The 19,958-nt window shown below is 36.9% G+C and overlaps 1 protein-coding gene across 24 annotated transcripts in view, besides 1 other annotated feature; it reads right to left on the bottom strand.

Moving 5' to 3' along the window:
* The window catches only part of KIAA1328, a 403,046-nt gene that overhangs the window by 273,381 nt on the left and 109,707 nt on the right, over nucleotides 1–19,958 (bottom strand). The window contains exons 1-4 of one of the 24 annotated variants that reach the window (XM_017025879.2): nucleotides 12,275–17,893; nucleotides 4,288–4,361; nucleotides 2,899–2,977; nucleotides 2,190–2,289 (exon numbers count right to left, since the gene is read on the bottom strand). The exons of 18 other annotated variants lie outside the window; for them this stretch is intronic. The gene's annotated coding sequence lies outside the window, so the exon portion shown is untranslated. Of the gene's footprint in view, nucleotides 1–2,189; nucleotides 4,362–12,274; nucleotides 17,894–19,958 lie in introns of those variants that run through there. 5 more of the 24 variants (XM_017025881.2, XM_047437682.1, XM_047437683.1 and 2 more) reach the window with 5 other exon arrangements.
* Nucleotides 10,231–10,865: an enhancer, noted in NCBI's record as "OCT4-NANOG-H3K27ac-H3K4me1 hESC enhancer chr18:34527890-34528524 (GRCh37/hg19 assembly coordinates)". NCBI's record gives its function as "activates a minimal SCP1, AML or CMV promoter by ChIP-STARR-seq in naive H9 embryonic stem cells {active_cell/tissue: H9 hESC(naive)}" and the evidence as "EXISTENCE:reporter gene assay evidence [ECO:0000049][PMID:30033119]".

The raw sequence follows: 19,958 nt of genomic DNA, 5'->3' as shown, positions 1-19,958 counted from the left end.
TGAAAAAACAACCCCCTGAATGAGAGAAAATATTTGGAAATGACATGGTAAAGAATTTGTGTCCAGAATATATACAACTTGTACAACTAAACAATAAAAAGATAATTAGTACAATTTAAAAGTGGGCAAAGGCTTTGAATATACATTTCCCAAAACAAAATATGCAAATGGCCAAGAAGCATAAGAAGAGATACTCAACATAGCCATTAGGGAAATGTAAATAAAAAACACACTGAGATAACATTTTGCATCAACTAAGATGACCATATCCAAAAAGACAAACAAGCACTGACAAGGATATGAAGAAACTGGAACCCTCCTACGTAACTAATGGGAACATAAGACTGTGCTGCCACTTTGGAAAATAAGTTAGCTGTTTCACAATGTTAGAGAATTATTTTGACATATGACCCAGCAATTCTACTCCTAGGTATATACTCAAGAGAAGTGAAAATATGTCCTGAAGAATATTAAATATATAAGCAAAGAAAACTTTTTAAAAAACATATGTACACACAAAAACTTGTATATACATATTCAACATGGCATTATTCCTAATAGTAGAAAAGTAAAAACAATGTCAATGTCCACTGATAAAGAAACAAAATGTGGAATATTTATAAATGGAATATTATTCAGCCACCAAAAGCAATGAAGTACTGCTACCTGCTACAACATGGATGAACCTTGAAAATATTATGCTAAGTAAAAGAAGCCAGACACAAAAGGCCATATATTGCATGATTTCATTTGTATAAAATGTTCAGAACAGGCAAATATATACAGACAGAAATAGATTAGTGGTTGCTAAGGGTTAGGGGAGAAGAAATGGAGAGTAACTGCAAACAGGTATGAATTTTGGGGGAAAGGTAATAAACATGTTCAGGAATTACAAAGTAGTGGTGTTTGCACATTTTTGGAATATACTCAAAACCATTTAATTATATAGTTCAAAAGGGTGAATTTTATTTTACATGAATTACACACAATAAAGTTATTATTTTAAAAAATCAGTATGGGGTACAAGTAATAACACTGTTCTGGTAAGAGTACTGCCAATTTACACAGAAAGTTCCTAACTATATTAAACATAAAGAGAGTATAATTTGATGTTTTTTTGTTAAGTTTTTCAGTTAAGTCAATATTTCATTAATAAAACCATCACCAGGAAATTTTCTGAACACATACCTCCCTACTTGTTTTATAATTTTATAATTTGGTACAAAGAACATGGCAATTTAACCTGGGGTACCCTCTCTCACAACTCCTAAAAATTGCCAGTTGTTCAAGATGAAAATACTAAATTGGAAAATGTCAGCTAACTTTGCAGACCAGTGCCTGGGAGACAAATAGTCCTACCCAAGAGAGAGCTCTGTTCCTTATTTCTCATTATGGTAATTTCCTCCCCAGGCTCTTTTTCCCTTCAGTACATTTTCAAATCTCCCCTTAACACTTACTTATGTATGCTGTTGGTATAAAAATTACTATCCAATGGGATTTATTCTGTATACATACTTTTACAATAGGTCATCACGATTAAGGGTCGAAATATTAGTTTTTAAATGTCAAAATGGTGTCTGGTTTCAGTATTCCTTAACATTTTCATAACCTAATCATTGCTTCGGGGCAGATTCTTGCTCTAATAACTTTTGCCAATCATGACTGCATAAATAACCAATTGCTCCATTATTCTCATTATTAACCTTTAACAAAAAAGGAGCCAGAGGTAGATGATAGAAGAGGAGCTGGTTCACAGGGAAAGGACAGGTTACTAAGCTTAGAGAATACAATAATTAGGAGAGCTTGTTGAATACTTGGCATCTTAAATAACAACAATAGTATAAATGGTAGTCTAAATAGGTTTTCAGAGTCAAGGTACATTGGACTAGGCTGGTTTTACATTTCCATGGAAAGCAAGCTCTAAAAGATGGGAATGATTTGTGGTGGTCCCAGGAGTCTCTGCCAGCTATTATGTACACAAAGGAGATTTTTATTCTCGCTGTTACCACAGGCAGTAATTTTTATAGTAGGTGAACATATTAGTCTGGTCACAGAATACGAATTTTACTCTGGAAAAATCAAGCACAATTATATAGCTTAGGAGTAAAATGTCAGCGTTTGAAACAAATTATAGGCAAATTCATTTAAACACATGCTATGTGGGAGAATATAAAAACAGGTAGTCCTACCTTTATCAATTTTTAATGTCTTTCTTGATATAGCAGATTTCTAAATGCACCCCCCCCCCACTTCCTTCCTCCTTAGCACAATGAGACTTCAATCTTCCATCTGGAGAGAAAGATTTATGTTAGGAAAATGCGGACAAAACGTCCTTCTCAATGATTTGGGGGGTACAATGAAAAAGAACATATATTTAACTCAATCCTGGCCGAATGACAGAAAAGAATGAAATAGATGTTGAAAACCAAACTTAAGGGAAAGTGTACACCAAACCATGACACAAATTTAGACACTGTAGTCTGCCTAACCACCTTTTAAGAAGTGGAAGACAGAGCAGTCATTGCAACCTTTTCAAAGAAATAAGTCTTCATGAGGTAGCACAAATAAATAAATATAAATTAGTATTAAGCAAGATTACATCAAAACCTAACTATCACATTAATTAGCTGAAATGGTTGTGGAAAATAATCATGTAGTAAAGCTTAAAATCTTAACACTAAAATGCATTAGATAGATAAGTAAAAGTAAAGATAAGAGCAGAATGAATAAGGGGATGAGTGAAAGAATAAAAACTGTGTGAGAGACAAATCACAGGTGGAGAGTGGAAGGGCCGGAGATAGGATATACTACTAAGAGGCTGCCAAAGTAAGGAAAGATTATTTTAACTGAAATAATTCCCCTGGCCTATCAGAGTTCACCCCCACCACTTCACCTCACCCTTGTCTCTGACACCTGGGATGCTTGGACTGGCACTTAGTAATCTTGACCTAATACAGAACTAAATGTAGAGAGGCCCCTGTGAAAAGACAAAAGGTAAATCATTAAATTAAAAAAAAAAAAGATTCTCCTTTTTTGGAGCCAAGATTCCTTGGAAAAATGGCTGAACCCCATTTTGGGGTAGAGAAAGTATAAAGTAAACTTGAAACATCTTGTTGTGCTGTAAAATGCAAGAAAGTGTTCAAAGACAAATAGATCGGGGCTTGTCACAAGAGTAGGAGATAGCAGCCAGGTGCGGTGGCTCACGCCTATAATCCCAGCACTTTGGGAGGCCGAGGTGGACAGATCACCAGGTCAAGAGATTGACACCACCCTGGCCAACATGGTGAAACCCCATCTCTACTAAAAATACAAAAATTAGCTGGCTGTGGTGGCAGGCACCTGTCATCCCAGCTACTCGGGAGGCTGAGGCAGGAGAATCGCTTGAACCCAGGAGATGGAGGTTGCAGTGAGCCGAGATCACTCACTGCACTCCAGCCTGGCAACAGAGTGAGACTCCATCAAAAAAAAAAAAAAAAAGAAAAGAAAAACCAGGAAAATTAGCCGGGTGTGGTGGTGCCTGTAATCCCAGCTACTTGGTAGGCTGAGGCAGGAGAATCACTTGAACCCGGGAAGCGGAGGTTGCACCGAGCTGAGATCATGCCATTGCACTCTAGCCTGGGTGATGAGAAACTCCATCTCAAAAAAAAAAAATAGGAGATAGCCTTAAGGGGATGCCTATTAACCACATTTGGGAAAATTTGAGCACTGAAATAAATAATTACTCTAATTAATAGAAAACTGAATAAATAAAAATCCACAACTTCATGGTAATGCTGCAAAAGGAGAAGAAAGGATGGATAAAAAAGCCAAGTCACACCTGTAATCCCAGCACTTTGGGAGGCCAAGGCGGACAGATCACCTGAGGTCAGGAGTTTGAGACCAGCCTGCCCAGGCATGGTGAAATGCCATCTCCACTAAAAATACAAAAAATTAGCCAGGCATGGTGGTGGGCGCCTGTAATCCCAGCTACTCAGGAGGCTGTCGCAAGACAATTGCTTGAACCCAGGAGGTGGAAGTTGCAGTGAGTTGAGATCGCAACACTGCACTCCAGCCTGGGCAACAAGACCAAAACTCCGTCTCAAAAAGAAAAAAAAAAAAAAAAAAGTGAAGTCTTTCTTTACAGAAGAAAGCAAACTAATTACTTAGAACAAATGGTCAAAATTTTAAATCACCATTTTAGAACGCCCAATGTAATAACTAATTCAGGCAAAGATCATTAAAGGATACTAAAACCATTAGGTGAAATGTTAATGAGTTAGATATTCCTAAGGTGTCATAATTACTTACAGCAAAGAAGAAAATGCATCTTTCAATGGTACAATCTGGTGGTCAATACTCAAAAGTAAATTAATTCAGGATCTCTAATAAATAGAAAAACAGAAATTATGTATGTCCAATTGCATGAAATAGGCATCATCGCTTATGTTTTAATCTGAACCTAATCAAATTTGTAAATCTAACTTCCACTTCACAGAATTTAGAAGGAATAAAGGAATAAATTAAATGATGCTGTAAGAAACAATCAGACTTGGGAGGCCGAGGCGGGTGGATCACGAGGTCAGGAGATCGAGACCATCCTGGCTAACAAGGTGAAACCCCGTCTCTACTAAAAATACAAAAAATTAGCCGGGCGCGGTGGCAGGCGCCTGTAGTCCCAGCTACTCGGGAGACTGAGGCAGGAGAATGGCGTGAACCCGGGAAGCAGAGCTTGCAGTGAGCCGAGATTGCGCCACTGCAGTCCGCAGTCCGGCCTGGGCGACAGAGCGAGACTCCGTCTCAAAAAAAAAAAAAAAAAAGAAACAATCAGACAAATTCAATATATGGGAGATTTTGCAAAGCACTTGGCCTGAACTCTTCAGAAGGTCAGTGTCATAGGGGAAAAGGTTTGGGGTAGGAGGCCTATTTTAGATTAAGAGACCAAAGACACAACCAAATGCAACCCATGAAGCACAACTGAATCCTTGTTCAGGGAGAAAAATAGAAAAGACATTATTGGGACAACTAGAAAAATTAGAATATGGACTCAATTAGAATTAATATTATGGAATTACTACTAATTTTATCAGTTACCATAAGTTGGTTTATAAAATAAAATCTTCTCATTCTTATGAGACAAGTCTGAGGTAGCTAGGAGTGACACTTGCCACTTCATTTAGTTCTGTATTAGATCAAGATTACTAAGCACAAGTCCAACCATCCCAGGTATCAGAGACAAGTGGCATTTCCCGTGACACTCAGAAAAATAAGCAAATAAATTTTTATAAAATTTTATATCTGTAAGTAAATTTACAATTTATATAAATTTCTATTACATATGTATATATTTCTATATTTATACAGATCTATATACATTTATATATCTATCTATCTCTATCTATCTATCTATCTATCTATCTATCTATCTATCTATCTATCTATAGTTGTTGGCATTGGCTATATCTGCTTTGCCCCCTCTGGTGTGTATTTTTATATAATATAAATATTTGTATATAATAAATATAAATATATTTATTTATATAGCATATATTATTAAATATTACACTATATATTATAAATATAATAATTTAATAATTATGTTTATATACAATTATATATGCATATTAAATATTTATATTTATGATATATGTATTAAAAATACACACACACGAGAGGGGGCAAAGCAGATATAGGCAATGCCAACCACTGAAATCTAGGTAGAAGGTACACAGTGTTTCAATGCCATATTGTCAACTCTCTATATATTTGAAAGTTATCATAATAAAACATTGCAGGAAAACTTTTTTTTTTTTGGTTTTGGTTTTTGTTGTTTGCTTTTTTTGTGTTTCTCTCTTTCTACTATTACTCAGTCTCTTCTTGTCTTCCTACCTCTACCACAAATTATCATGTGAGAAGCAGAAACTTGAGCATCAGGTCAGCCTCCTAAGAGTTCTCTACAATCACGAGTCCTTGGTCAGTAAGTCAGGTGACAAACTGTTACTATGATCTGATCATATACTAACCAGAACTGTCCTTGGAGCCAGGGAGAGGCACACACAAGACAGCGAAAAGGCCATGCAAAAAAGACCCGCCAAGCTTTCTTCCAGTCATTTAACAAATGTTTTCTGAATACAATGTAACAGGCATAAGACGTACAAAGGCAGTACTGTGGATTCAGTAAACGCATAGACTTAGGTGTCAGTCCAACATTCTTGGCTCAAATCGTAACTCTGGTACTTAGTAATGATATAACTTAGGGCAGTTAACTTCTCTGACATCTTCATCTGGGGATAATATCTACCTCACCTCACAGGGCAACTGCAAATGTAAATGATATAAATAAATGAAGAACACTTAGCATAGTGCAGGGCACAAAGTATATATTCAATACATTTTTTAAAAAAAAAAGACATCAAGGCTTAGAGAGAGGGAGAGATTTAAACAAATAAGGATAACATGTTCCAGGAGAAACATTTATACACTAGAGTACAATGGAGATTTTAAAAAGGTGGGGTGAGTAGTTCACTTTGACCACACTGGAGGGAAGTTAGGAAAGGCTCCAGAGAACATGTGACATTGAAAACAAATTTTGGAAAAGAAGTATATAGATGTACCAGGTAGGTAGGCTGTGCAGTACCCCTGGCTGAGAAATCACCAGGATCAAAGGAAAGAAAAAAATGATCAATATGTACATTAAGAGAACTGCAAGAAGCATGGCATGGATGGTTAACTGGTCCTGAGTGGGACAGAATGAGTGAAGAGGCTACAGAGATCAACAGGGGCTAGATCTCAAATGTTACCCTAAGTTGTTTAGATTTTATCTCTATTTAAGTCACTGATGACTTACAGCTAATTTGCATTTCATAAAGATACCTCTGGTAGGAGAGTAAAGGATGGATGAGAGGGCTTAAGACTAGAATAAAAGCAACCAATTAGAAAATCACTATAGAAGTCTAAGCAAGAGATGAGAGGGGCATGAGCCGGAGTAATAATGGTAGAAAATAGGGATAAGGGGTTAAAAAGGGACATTTAAGGCAATGTCAGCTTATGAACTGGGTGACAAGATGTATGAGCAGATGTGTGATTCCATTTATAAGACAGAGAATGCAGAATAAAGAAAAGATCTGGGGAGAGTGCAGCTTTAGAACACAGAGTTAAAGATGCTTGGGAGAGTTTAGTGGAGATAGCGAAGAGGGGACACTTGGATCCCTGGGCGTGAAATTCAGAAAAGAAGTCTGAGTAGAAATAGACATTTGGGAGTTAATCACTTTATATGTGGTGGCTGAAGACATGAGAGTGGGTAAAATTGTCCAGGGAGTGTACAGGTTTTGTTTGTTCATTAATTCACTCATTCATTCATTCAACAAATAAGTCTGTAAGGGCAGGAATTTTTGTTTTGTTTACTACTGAATTCCTTAGCCTACATAAGTGCTCAATAAATATTTATTGAATAATAAATATAATGAGTACAGTAACATCTGAGACTGAATGAGATGCCAGACATACAATAATGAACAAGACTAACACTATCTCCTTTAGGGAGAAAGAATGGCAGGTAATCAAACACAAAGAAAAACAAATGAAGAGTAATGACAAGAACATTATGTAGTGCTGTAGGAACACTTTCTAAAAGGACCCAAATAGTCAAGGAGCCAGGGAAAGCCTCTTAGAGAAAGGAATGTTCCAACTGTGAGACGAGAAGGAGGCCAATGTAACAACAAGTAAAGGACAGGCAGAGAAAAAAGATAAATAACAAAGATAAATAAAAAGATGAAGTCGACTGTGTCCAGTGCTGAAAAGCAGCCACCCCAGTTAAAGACTGAGTTGAGAAGCCATTGGTGACCCTTGCAAAACATCAGTTTGACATTACTTGGTTGTCCATCATCTCCCCCGACTGTTTTGGTAGATGAACAGTTAGGCTATTTTCTTGTCAGGGAGAGAAGCTTTACAAAAGAGAGATGTTTTATTCAGGATCATCCTCGGGTAAGAATCTGAGGTAAGGCCATCTGGCTCCAACTGTAAAGCAATCCATTACTCACAGACTTTGGGGGAAATACTGAACCCAAATATTTTCACTATGGCAGGTACTTCCTTTACTCTGAATGCCTACAAGCCATATATTAAGATAGCATATCATTCTAGGCATAACGTTCTGCCTAGAATGTTTTGCCCGCCCTTAATCCTAGATTCCTACTTGTCCATTAAAACTTAATTTTTATGTCACCTCTTCCTCCAAGCTTTCACTGACCTCCCAGGCAGAGTTAAGCACCTTTATCATAGTAAATACCATAAAGTTAAAATTATTTGACTATATTACTATCACCTGAAGCAGACTGTGTTTTCCTGGAAATCGTAGTGTACTAATCTTGGTATCTCTTCAGCACACAGCAGGCACTTTAAAAATGTTAGAGGAATGAGTATAGAAATAAAAGTAAAGGAGCTCCTATTGAATTTTCACGTTGGTTTTGAGTTTGGAATGGAAACAAACCATAAATAGACAATGTGGCCTTTAAACCAGCCAAGAAGATGCTTAAAATATTGACTCATTAAAAACTAAAATGTTTTCTAACCTAGCAAGATTTTCTCATCTTAAATATGGTTTCTGACCACGTCAAATTCCTCACCTTACAATCATTTTCTTTTCTCCCTTTTGAAAAAAAGAGTACACATTTTCTGATATAAAAATTGAGGTCTAAATTATATATCTAGTTTAGGACTCATTGATAATATATGCAACTGAAAATGGATTGTTTGTAAAAAGAAAAAGTGATTCCAAGATCAAGTGGTTCACAGGGCTAGGTAAGAATTTCACATAAATATTTACACCTGTTTATGAAGCTGTGATCTGTGCAAGAGCACAAGCCACTGATACAAGTCTGAAATCTTCCATTTAACTAAAAGAAAAATTTATGGCAAATTCGGTGTATGAACATGTTATTTTTCAATTTCCTGATGACAGTAATCCATTGGGGGAGGGTAATAAAGCACAAAACAGTGGAAAACTCAATGCTCTGGACACTTAAAGATGGAAACAAGACTCAAGTGACCCACTCAGACTCTTCTAGACTGTAATTCATTCTGTTTGATCACCTGAACAAAAACATGAGCCACGGAAAGATAGCTAATTAGAGTATTTAACTAGCTCCTTTAGAGTTATCTAAGTCCCTACCTTATTTCTTGCAGAATTGCAAATCAAGATCGGGGGGTGGGGGGGGGGGAGCTGGGTAGAAACAGACTTGAAATTGAGGTGCTTTACATTCTGTCTTTTTCTCAGGTCATTAGACCCTATGGATTTTAGAAACTACCTACACAATGGAGACCCAAGGTTTATTTCTCCAACTTTAAAGGTAAGGACACTTATTTAAATGTTTAAATCCAGACACCCTAAAAAGCAGGCTATCAATGTGCCAGATGGACCAGAACTTTGATTTCATGTTTTTATAGTTTCCTTTTCACAAAATAAGAAAATATAAATTTTCAGCATTCACTGTAGACATTAAAGGTTGAGAAAACATTTCTATTAAAAACCATGCATTTTCTCTTGCTTCTAACTTGCTTAAAAATTTATTTTTTGTTTAAAAGTTCTATGTTTCAGCTGGACCCGAAGGAGAAATATTTTACCCTTTTGGAAAGGCTGCTTTAAAGCAATTCAGCCTTTCATGGGTTACAAGAACTACCTTAGAACTGTAGAAGAAAAAAAGCTGCCATCATACCTCTCCCCCAAGAAGCTTCCTTATCAAGTGAACTGCACAACAATAATTAACACTTAAAAACTTCCAATTTCAAAAAGGGAAAATTCCTGACAATATAGACTATGGAAAATGGTCTGCACACTAAGCTCTCCAGACCCCAAAAGGCTGATCAGTGAAGTTGTGTGAATAATGCTTTGTGAAGCATAGTGAAACATATCAGGCTGAAAACTACCAGCTCCAAACACGAGAAACAGACTGAAAGCTCTTTAAAAAAAGTCATGTCGCAGTGGCTTACGCCTGTAATCCCAGCACTCTGGGAGGCCGAGGCGGGCGGATCACCAGAGGTTGGAAGTTCAAGACCAGCCTGACCAACATGGAGAAACCCCGTCTCTACTAAAAATACAAAATTAGCTGGGCGTGGTGGCGCATGCCTGTAATCTGAGCTACTCAAGAGGCTGAGGCAGGAGAATCGCTTGAACCCAGGAGGTAGAGGTTGCGGTGAGCTGAGATCGTGCCATTTTACTCCAGCCTGGGCAACAGAGTGAGACTGTCTCAAAAAAAAAAAAAAAGGCGTGGTGGCTAATGCCTGTAATCCCAGCACTTTTGGAGGCCGAGGTGGGAGGATCACGAGGTCAGGAGATTGAGACCATCCTGGACAACATGGTGAAACTCCATCTCTACTAAAAATACAAAAATTAGCCAGGCGTGGTGGCGCATGCCTGTAATCCCAGCTACTCAGGAGGCTGAGGCAGGAGAATCACTTGAACCAAGAAGTTGGAGGTTGCAGTGAGCCGAGATCGCACCACAGCACTCCAGCCTGGAGACAGAGTAAGACTCTGTCTCAAAAAAAAAAAAAAAAAAACAAAAGACAAACAAACAAAAAGTCATGTCATTCTACTTCCGATCTTCAAACAGAAGAGATTTGTTCTTACCATTAAATGAAAACATTTCATGAGCTATCCATTTCAATACACATGATACCTCTCTTTCTTCATACTCCTGCAAAAATAAAACTCTAAGCCCCTCAACTGACTGAATGAAGGCCGCTCTTGGCCGAGGGCATTCCAAAGTAAACCTGAAAAACAAGTTCAGGCCATGATGGGAAGGGGAGGTCAAACACGCCTCATTATACCCTCATCCCTTTGGAATTCAGGCACAATTGACCAACATTAACATTAAAACAGAGATCTTAAGACTGGCAAAGCAGTCTCTCTGCAGCAATGAGATATCAAATTCCAACCTGACTCTAGTATAGAGTCAAGTATATGATAGATACCAGGCCCTGAAAAAAATCAAAGTGTTTTACCCCAAAATATATTTCTTTGACATATTTTGAAATGGTCCTGCAAAGCTATCTCTTGTGGGGAAAATCTACATTATGTTGAGAATCCTCCTCCCTTTCCAGTTCTTCTGTTCCTGAAGAGATTAGCTGCCAGTCTAGCACCTTTGAAACATTTGAACAGAAAACACTTGCCATCAATTGCCTCTAAGGGTGGCCACCTATGAGGCATAATAAAAACCTGCAAAAAACCTTGGTCTCCACAACCCCTTATCTTTACCCAGACACTCCTTTCTATTGATTCCTGGTCTTTAGATAATAACTTAACTCTTTTGACCAACTCCCAATCAGAAAATCCGTGAATCCACCTATGACCTAAAAGCCCGAGTTGTCCCACCTTTCCAGACTGAATCAATGTACACTTTACATGTATTGATTTATGTCTGCCAGTAACTTGTCCCCCTAAAATGTATAAAATCAAGCTGTCACCCAATCACATTGGGCACAGGTTCTCAGGACATCCTGGGGCTGTGTCACAGGCCTTGGTCACCCATATTTGGCACATAATAAGCCTCCTTAAATGTTTTACAGAGTTTGACTCTTTTTATCAACATTCCTATATTTGTCTCCTTGAACTATTTTATCTTACCATGTAATACAATTCATTTCTGGTTTTTTTAGGAGACGGAGTCTTGCTCTGTCGCCCAGGCTGGAGTGCAGTGGCGTGATCTCGGCTCACTGCAACCTCCACCTCCCAAGTTCAAGCGATTCTCCTGCTTCAGCCTCCCGAGTAGCTGGGATTACAGGAGCCTAACAATTCATTTCTTAGTGGAAATGTAAACCGAGTTTAAGTGGTCCCTCAATCTTCTTTCTCCCACACGAAGCAATCCAGTGACATCAAGTGTTCCTCATATACAGTATTTCATCTTCCAGTGCTATCATTTTTATGCTTGTCATCTCTCCCTTCTTCAGAGATTTCATCAGAGTTCTCTTTTAAGAATAAGATACTATCATCACCTATTTCACAATTAAGCACCTATCACCAGGAACGGATGCCTGAACCACAGTATCTTTGAATAGCTCAGTATAACCTCTACTTGAAGGTGAGGGACTAACATTATATTTAATTTAAAGAGATTATATTTAATTCTTATTAAAAGAAAAAACCCATTATGTACTATTATTAATCTCATTTTACAAATAAATCTGCAGCACAGAATGGTTAATAACTTATCCAAGGATAACCTAGCAGTGAGCTGAGATTTAGAATAAAGTCTTAGAACCACTAGAGCAGCATTCCTTAAAATGTAATGTACAAAAGAATTACCTGTGGGTCTTGTTGGAAAGCAAATTCTGATCCAGTAGATCTGAGGTAGGGTCTAACAAGCTTCTGAGTAATGCTGATGTTGCTGGTCCAGGGAACATACTTACGGTATGCGTATCAATCATCTCTAAGAACCCTCTTTCACACCAGTGAGAGGAGGCCCATCCTTCTCCTTTATGTTGAAATGTAATACATTATTGGACTCCTTTGCTTCCTCCCTTTAAGTCATTCTTGGTATGTCTTTCTGTGTTTATTTTATCTGTTTTGGTCAACTGTTTTTGTTTTGGAAGGAAGCATATAGAAAGTAAAATAAGAGATGTAAAATAATCCACTTTCTTCTTTAAAAGGAAGCAGCATTCTGAATTTTTAGGGCAGTGTAACATTTCTATTTTGGCTAACTACTGAAGTATAGGTTGAATATCCCTAATCTGAAATCCAAAATTAGAAATACTCCAAACTCTGAAATGTTTTGGGCATGAACATAATGTCCAGAAGAAATGCTCATTGCAGCATTTTGGATTTCCGGATTAGGGATGTTCAACTGGTAAGTATATTGCAAATACCGCAAGATCTAAAAAAATCCAAAATCTGAAACACTTCTGGCCTCAAGAATTTTGGATACAGGATATTCAACATGTAATAACAATTAGCAAATACTACCTGTAGTGCTTAAGAATTTATACTGGGGGAAGAGTCCATGAGAAGGAAACAACCACACCCTCTCTCTTCTATTTCCAAAAAGATACTCATCTTCTATATCACCCACCCACACTTTTAAGCATAAGTTTACAGTATCATTTCTAAATTCAGTTTAACATTGCTAGACCATTAGCTATGGCCTTGGGGAACAGCATTCTCACCAGAGTTGCAAGTACTCTGTAATGTAGTATGAAAATATCACCCAGTATTAATAATTCTAAGTGAAAATCAAACACATTCAATAAAACTGTATTAACTGAAGTGAAAAAGGAGAGTTCTTATACAATGGAATCACAGTTATCATCTTAAGGTTAAAATTTTAAAAGTAGTAGGAATATTTCATTACTTGTCTCTTTGAAAATGACTGAGGCTATTGATCACACATGTAAATTACTGCTCAGAGAAAAATTAAGTAACTTCGTGGGGGGGGCGGTTATTGTCTAAACTCAGCAAATGCCACAAAGACTAAGGCAAAAAAAATTTTATGAACAACTTTACTTCAATGGTTCTTAATATAATTAAGCTTATGTGGACTGTTCAGCAGAATGATTCTGAAACACTGGTAAAGAACCAGATTTTTTGTTTTACCCTCCATTCAAGAAATGTTATAGAGGAATAGCCCAAAAATACTCAAAGACAAAAGTTTCACAATATCACTAAAATCAAGGGGCTAGGTTTTACTTTACTATTTTAATACTATGAATACTACATAAGTTAGCCCATAAACATTTAAAAGAACAATCCCTGAGCCAAAAGCTTTTTGCTACTGTCCATAAGCATTCATGTTTATCTTAAGAAAAGCCTTTCTCAAACAAAGCTTTCTTCTTAAGCTGCCAACATCTCTCCCTCTTCCTCATTATTACCAAAGTTCTCAAAAAATTAATCTATATTCACAGTCTCTGTTTCCTCAGTTCCAGTTTACTTTTTGGCCCTATATGTTTTCCATCACTCACTCTATTTAAACTGGATTCTTGACAAGTATTCTTTAATCTATTAATTGTTAAATGTAACAACCTGATTTGGGGTTTTATCCTCTTTGCTGGTCACTTCCTTCTTCAACAGATCTCCTCTCCTGGTTTCGCAGTTACTGGTTCATTCTGTTTCTTCCTTACTGATTGCTCCTTAAATCTCTTTCACTGATATCCTTTTCTTTACCCATCATTAAATGGACATACTCCCTAAGATAATGTCCAAGAACCTACTCTGTTTGTGCTACTTCCCCATGACCTTGTATTTTTTTTTTGAGACAGAGTCTCACTCTGTTGCCTAGGCTGGAATGCAGTGGCGTGATCCCAGCTCACTGCAAGCTCCGCCTCCCGGGTTCACGCCATTCTCCTGCCTCAGCCTCCTGAGTAGCTGGGAACAGAGGCGCCCGCCACCATGCCTGGCTAATATTTTTGTGTTTTTAGTAGAGATGGGGTTTCACCGTGTTAGCCAGGATGGTCTCGATCTCCTGATCTTGTGATCCGCCCGCCTTGTCCTCCTAAAGTGCTGGGATTACAGGTGTGAGCCACCGCGCCTGGCCCCCATGACCTTATATTCTACCACAGCTTCAAATTCAATACAGAGGCTGGAGATCCCCAAATTTCTACTTCTTAGCTATTCAAGAAAAACAGTATGACATGAGGTTCTACAGCAGTCCCATTTTACAAACATGATTATTATCCAGTAGAGTATGCACACATATTTGGTACTATATAGTTTATGAAGTGTAGGTAAGACAATTGATAAACATCCAATTCTTCCAATCATTTTCAGTATTTTCAAATCATAATGTTGAATTTTTACACTTAAATAACAAGAGTTAATGCTCCAAGAAAGTTTATCGTCCTACTACTGTTTACAGCATCATGATAATAGTGTTAAATGATGTCACTTTTTAACAGGAAAGTGCTAATACATACCAGTTACATTTTAAGGAAACATGAAATTTACTTTACCAGAGAATAATATCTCATGATTAGTTCCTGATTTGATTACTCTTTGAAGTGAATCCAAAATGGCATATGGTATAATACAAATGAATTAAGTTAGGATAACCTATATATAATAAAAGAGAAACCACACTGAATAAAGTTAAGGACTATGTTATCCATCAAAACAAAATTTCTTCTTTTTCTCCAACTGGCATCAATTAAATCACAGTATTATTCAGTTTTCCAACACCCAAATGACTTGTTTTCTAGTTCTATCTATACCACCTGTGCAAAAATTGTTCAAAAATAACTTAAAAGCAATGAACAATGCTAAATAACTCCCCACTCTGGTTAAAAACACTGATATGATCTATTTATATTAATCAAATAAAGATTACAGGTATTGCAAGACTACTGGACTTAACATTATCAGTGATGAAGCAGTTTATCTTTATCTGGCCCCTAGTTCAGATAATGGCTCTGAAATATATAAACCATGTAGAATGACAGACTGTGTTTTAAGACACACAGATCACCACTTGGGCATCAGCAGGTATCAATGCTGAGCAAGTCAACACATCAGCTAAGAAAGGTTCTATAATGAAAGTAGTTGTACACTTAAATAAAATACTACAAACAAAATTTTTGTTCCTTTATAAAAGGCAAATCTATCCTTTCATAATAAATATGCATACAAAGTTGGATTACAGCAATCATTATAGCAAGGGTTAGGTACTATTTATAATATATGACATTCCCTTTCAATATACATGCCCCAAACAAACAAGGAAGGCACTCTGCCCAGGTACATTGTTAGCTCCTTCAGTGCACACCAAGTGTTTTACATAAAGATGTCTGATGGGCCCTGATTCCTATACCCAGGGAGCAGTCTGCATAACACTGTAACAAATTCTAATAAGGCTAAGGGAATTAAATTTGCTTTGGCATCATTTCTAGGGCTGATTCCTGGAATAAAATTTGGGAATGTTCTGTCTCTATGAATTGGTAGAGAAATTTTAAATTAACATATGTGTCGATCAAGTCACCTGTTAAATCTCCCTTTTATTAAGCAGTAAGAGTCACAATAATATAGCTAAAAACATTCGCTCCCCAGTATACAGACATAATGTCTCAGCTATATGATGGCTAATTTCTACCATACACAAGAGATCAATTAAAAGTGAAATGCAAGGTCTAGTGGGTGGCACAAGACTAAGCCACAGAAAGGGTTACTCCTATTAAAAATTAATCTGGATTTTGTTTTCTCATTAAAAAATACATTCAGATTATAAAATGAAAACAAAAGCAACACTGCACAATTTAGCTGTCTTTTTCTACCAAATTGCTTATAACTGTAACTATAAAATGATAATTTACCATACGTATAGCTGCAAAACTAAGAAAAGCACTCGTCAGTGGTGCTGCGATTTGTGAACCTACTACTCCCCCTACTGCCTGTGGAACTGAATTGCAGTAAAATTAAAGGTTTGTTCTATGTCTCTAACAAAGCGTGAAATTTCATATACAGTCAGTTCTGCTACACCACTTGTTCAGAAAACCAAAATTCGTTCCTGTGCATTTGATGTATTTGGAAGCAATTTGAGCATAACGTGAATATCACTGTGAGAAACACCAGGTGCAGGCAGAAAACTACATCTAGCTGACCAAGCCCAGTAGAAATATTTAAAATATGCGCCAACAGGCCTCACATCTTAAATATCTTCCAGCTATTTCAGTTCCCTTTGTGTTATAAGCCATACCTACTAATAGATGGTGTTACAACTTTATATCCCACTTCAGCAACCTTCCCTATACCATTTTACAATAACTCAGAAGCTGCAACCCTTTCAATATTAACTTCCACAAGCATACTTCAGTTTTTTCAAGGCAAAGTACCATATTTATTGTAGTATTTATGAATTTCTTTATAACATAATGCATGTACAACTGTTCTATCATTTTTATTAGGTTCTTTTTTTTCTTAATGTTTCACTAAACAATTTCTTTTTATTGTTGTACTTCTAAACCTATTTTTCCCATAAGCTTCCTGGGGTCTTTAGTAATGATTCTGCATGGTATGGTGATTTTTAGAAATGCAAATGTCTCCTTATAGCAGAACTGACCATACAGTAGTAAAATGTAAATGCCTCTTCTATATTTGTGAATAGGGTAAGAGTAATTATGAATAAATATCAAAATTTTATAATTTTAAAAAATGTGTTTTATATGTCTATTTCCATGAGAGTATTACTGACTTTTTCTATCTCATTTAATTAATTAATATTTATATACATGTTTATTTATTTTGAGATGGAGTCTTGCTCTGTCTGTCGCCCAGGCTAGAGTGCAGTGGCGCAGTCTCAGCTCACTGCAACCTCCGCCTCCTGGGTTCAAGTGATTCTCCTGCCTCAGCCTCCCGAGTAGCTGGGATTGCAGGCATCCACCACCAGGCCTGGCTGGTTTTTGTATTTTAGGTTGAGATAGGGTTTTACCACGTTGGCCACGCTAGTCTCGAACTCCTGATCTCAAGTCGGCAGTCCACCTCAACCTCCTAAAGTGCTGGGATTACAGGCATGAGCCACCACACCTGGCCTCTATCTCCTTTTAAAAAGGCTAGAAAGGCTCTCTCTCTCCTCAGGTACAGAGCTTTATAAGAATTCAGGAGAAAAAAATTATACATGTATGTGTGGGTATACATATTTTTAAATATGTTAAAGTATATATATTGAAATCTGTCCCTTTTGCTATTCAAACTATTAATCATACCAAACGGTTTGTGTCCCTGCTCTAATTTGACAACCAAGATCTTTCCAGAAGCCTGAGGTGAGTAAACGTCCAACTGACTCAAAAAATGGGATGATTCCTTATTTCGCGTTCACTTATCATTCAAAATCTGAATTGGTCAAAAGTCGCATAAGAAAAATGAGCACTCGGCTGTGCATGGTGGCTCATGCCTATAATTCCAGCACTTTGGGAGGCCGAGGCGGGTGGATCACAAGGTCAAGAGATCGAGACCATCCTGGCTAACATGGTGAAACCCCATCTCTACTAAAAATACAAAAATTAGCTGGTCGTGGTGGCATGTGCCTATAATCCCAGCTACTCAGGAGGCTGAGGCAGGATAATCGCTTGAACCCGGGAGGCAGAGGTTGCAGTGAGCCGAGTTCGCACCACTGCACTCCAGCCTGGTGACAGAGCGAGACTCCGTCTCAAAAAAAAAAAAAAAAAAAAGTAAAATGAGCACTCTATTTACCAATGATGAATGCAGCTTATTATAGGCTTTTCAGTCTTCTGAAAAATACAGGCATTACATTCATATAAAAGGGAAGTCAGGATAAAACTTCAAGAATTCATAGCCTTTCACTTAGTTAATAGTCTTACATCAAATGCTTCACAACTACAGCAAGCTTTGTCAACGGCATACCTTTCTTATCAAAGTACACTTCATGAATAGTTGTCTACACTGGGTTTAACCTTTCTATATAATCAACCTGCCATAAAAAGAGAAAAACTTACTGTCAGGAAGGAAGTCTAAGTGTGGTCCAGGGACAGCAGCACTGGTATCATCTGGGAACTTCTAAGACATGCAAAATCCTGAGCCGCACTCTAGATGTGGATTCGATTCTGCATTTTATCAAGCTGCTCAGGTGATTAACGTGTACCTTATAGCCTGAGGAGCACTGGTTAACAAGCACTGTCTAAACCACTATGACAAAATTCTAGGTTCCATTTCTGCCCATCTTGCACTTCTGAAGTCAAGAAAAGCAGCTTTTCTGTCTCCAAAGTCATATCTTTTTATAAGAAATTAACTGGAATGTTCATTTTTTAAAATGTGCCATTTTATCAGTCTTTCCCACCTTGTTAGAATACAGTGTCTTTGGACACAATGGATAAAAAAATTCAACTATTTCTCTTTCAAAAGATATCTGAGATAAAATTGACTAAATATGTCTAAATGTTAATTCCTAAAAAGACATATATAAAAGAATATATAAAATAGATATTTTTTCATATATACATGTAAAACAGCAGACATTTGTTCAATAAAAACCGTGGTGATCATCTCAATAGATGTAGAAAAGGCATTTGACAATATTCAACATCCTTTCATAGTAAAAACTCTCAACAAATTAGGCACAGAAAACATGTACCTCAACACAATAAAGGTCATATATGAAAAGCCCACAGCTGACATTATACTCAATGGTGAAAAGTTAAATGCTTTTCCTCTAGGATCAGAAACAAGAAAAAGATTACCACTACACCACTTTTATTCAACGTAGTGCTGGAAGTTATAGCCAGAGCAATTAGACAAGAAAAAAAAGTAAAAGGCATCCAAATAGAAAAGGAAGAAGTGAAATTTTTTGTTTGCTGATGATATGACCTTATATTTAGAAAACCCTTAGAACTCCACCAAAAAAAATTTAGAGCTGATAAATGAATTCAGTCAAATTGCAGAACCCAAAACCAATACACAAAAATCAGTAACACTTCTTTACACTGACAACAAACTATCCGAAAAAGAAAATAAGAAACCAGTCTTATTCACAATAGCATAAAAAATAAAAAATAAAATACTTAGGAATAAATTTAACCAAGAAGGTGAAATATCTGTTATACCAAAAATTATAAAACATTGAGGAAATTGCCGATGACACAAATAAGTGGAAAGGTATCCCATGTTCATGGATTAGAATTAATATTGTTAAAATGTTCATACTACCCAAAGTGATCAACACATTCAGTGCCATTTTTATCAAAATTCCAAGTCATTTTTCCGAAAAACAGAAAAATAGGAAAAACAACACCCCAAATCTGTACTACAAAAGACCCCAAATAACCACAGTAAGTTTTGAGCAACAAGAACAAAGCTGGAGGCATAACACTGTATGACTTCGAATCTATTACAAAGCAAGAGTAATCAAAACAGCACGGTACTGGCATAAAAACAAAAACAAACACATTAACCAATGGAATAGGATAGAAAACCCAAAAAATAAACCCACGCATTTATGGTCAACTGATTTTCAGCAAAGGTGCCAAGAATACGCTATGATGAAAACAGAGTCTCT

The sequence above is a fragment of the Homo sapiens genome, chromosome 18, assembly GCF_000001405.40.
Source record: "Homo sapiens chromosome 18, GRCh38.p14 Primary Assembly".
Lineage (NCBI taxonomy): Eukaryota > Metazoa > Chordata > Mammalia > Primates > Hominidae > Homo > Homo sapiens.
This window is presented reverse-complemented; position numbering and strand designations above follow the sequence as displayed.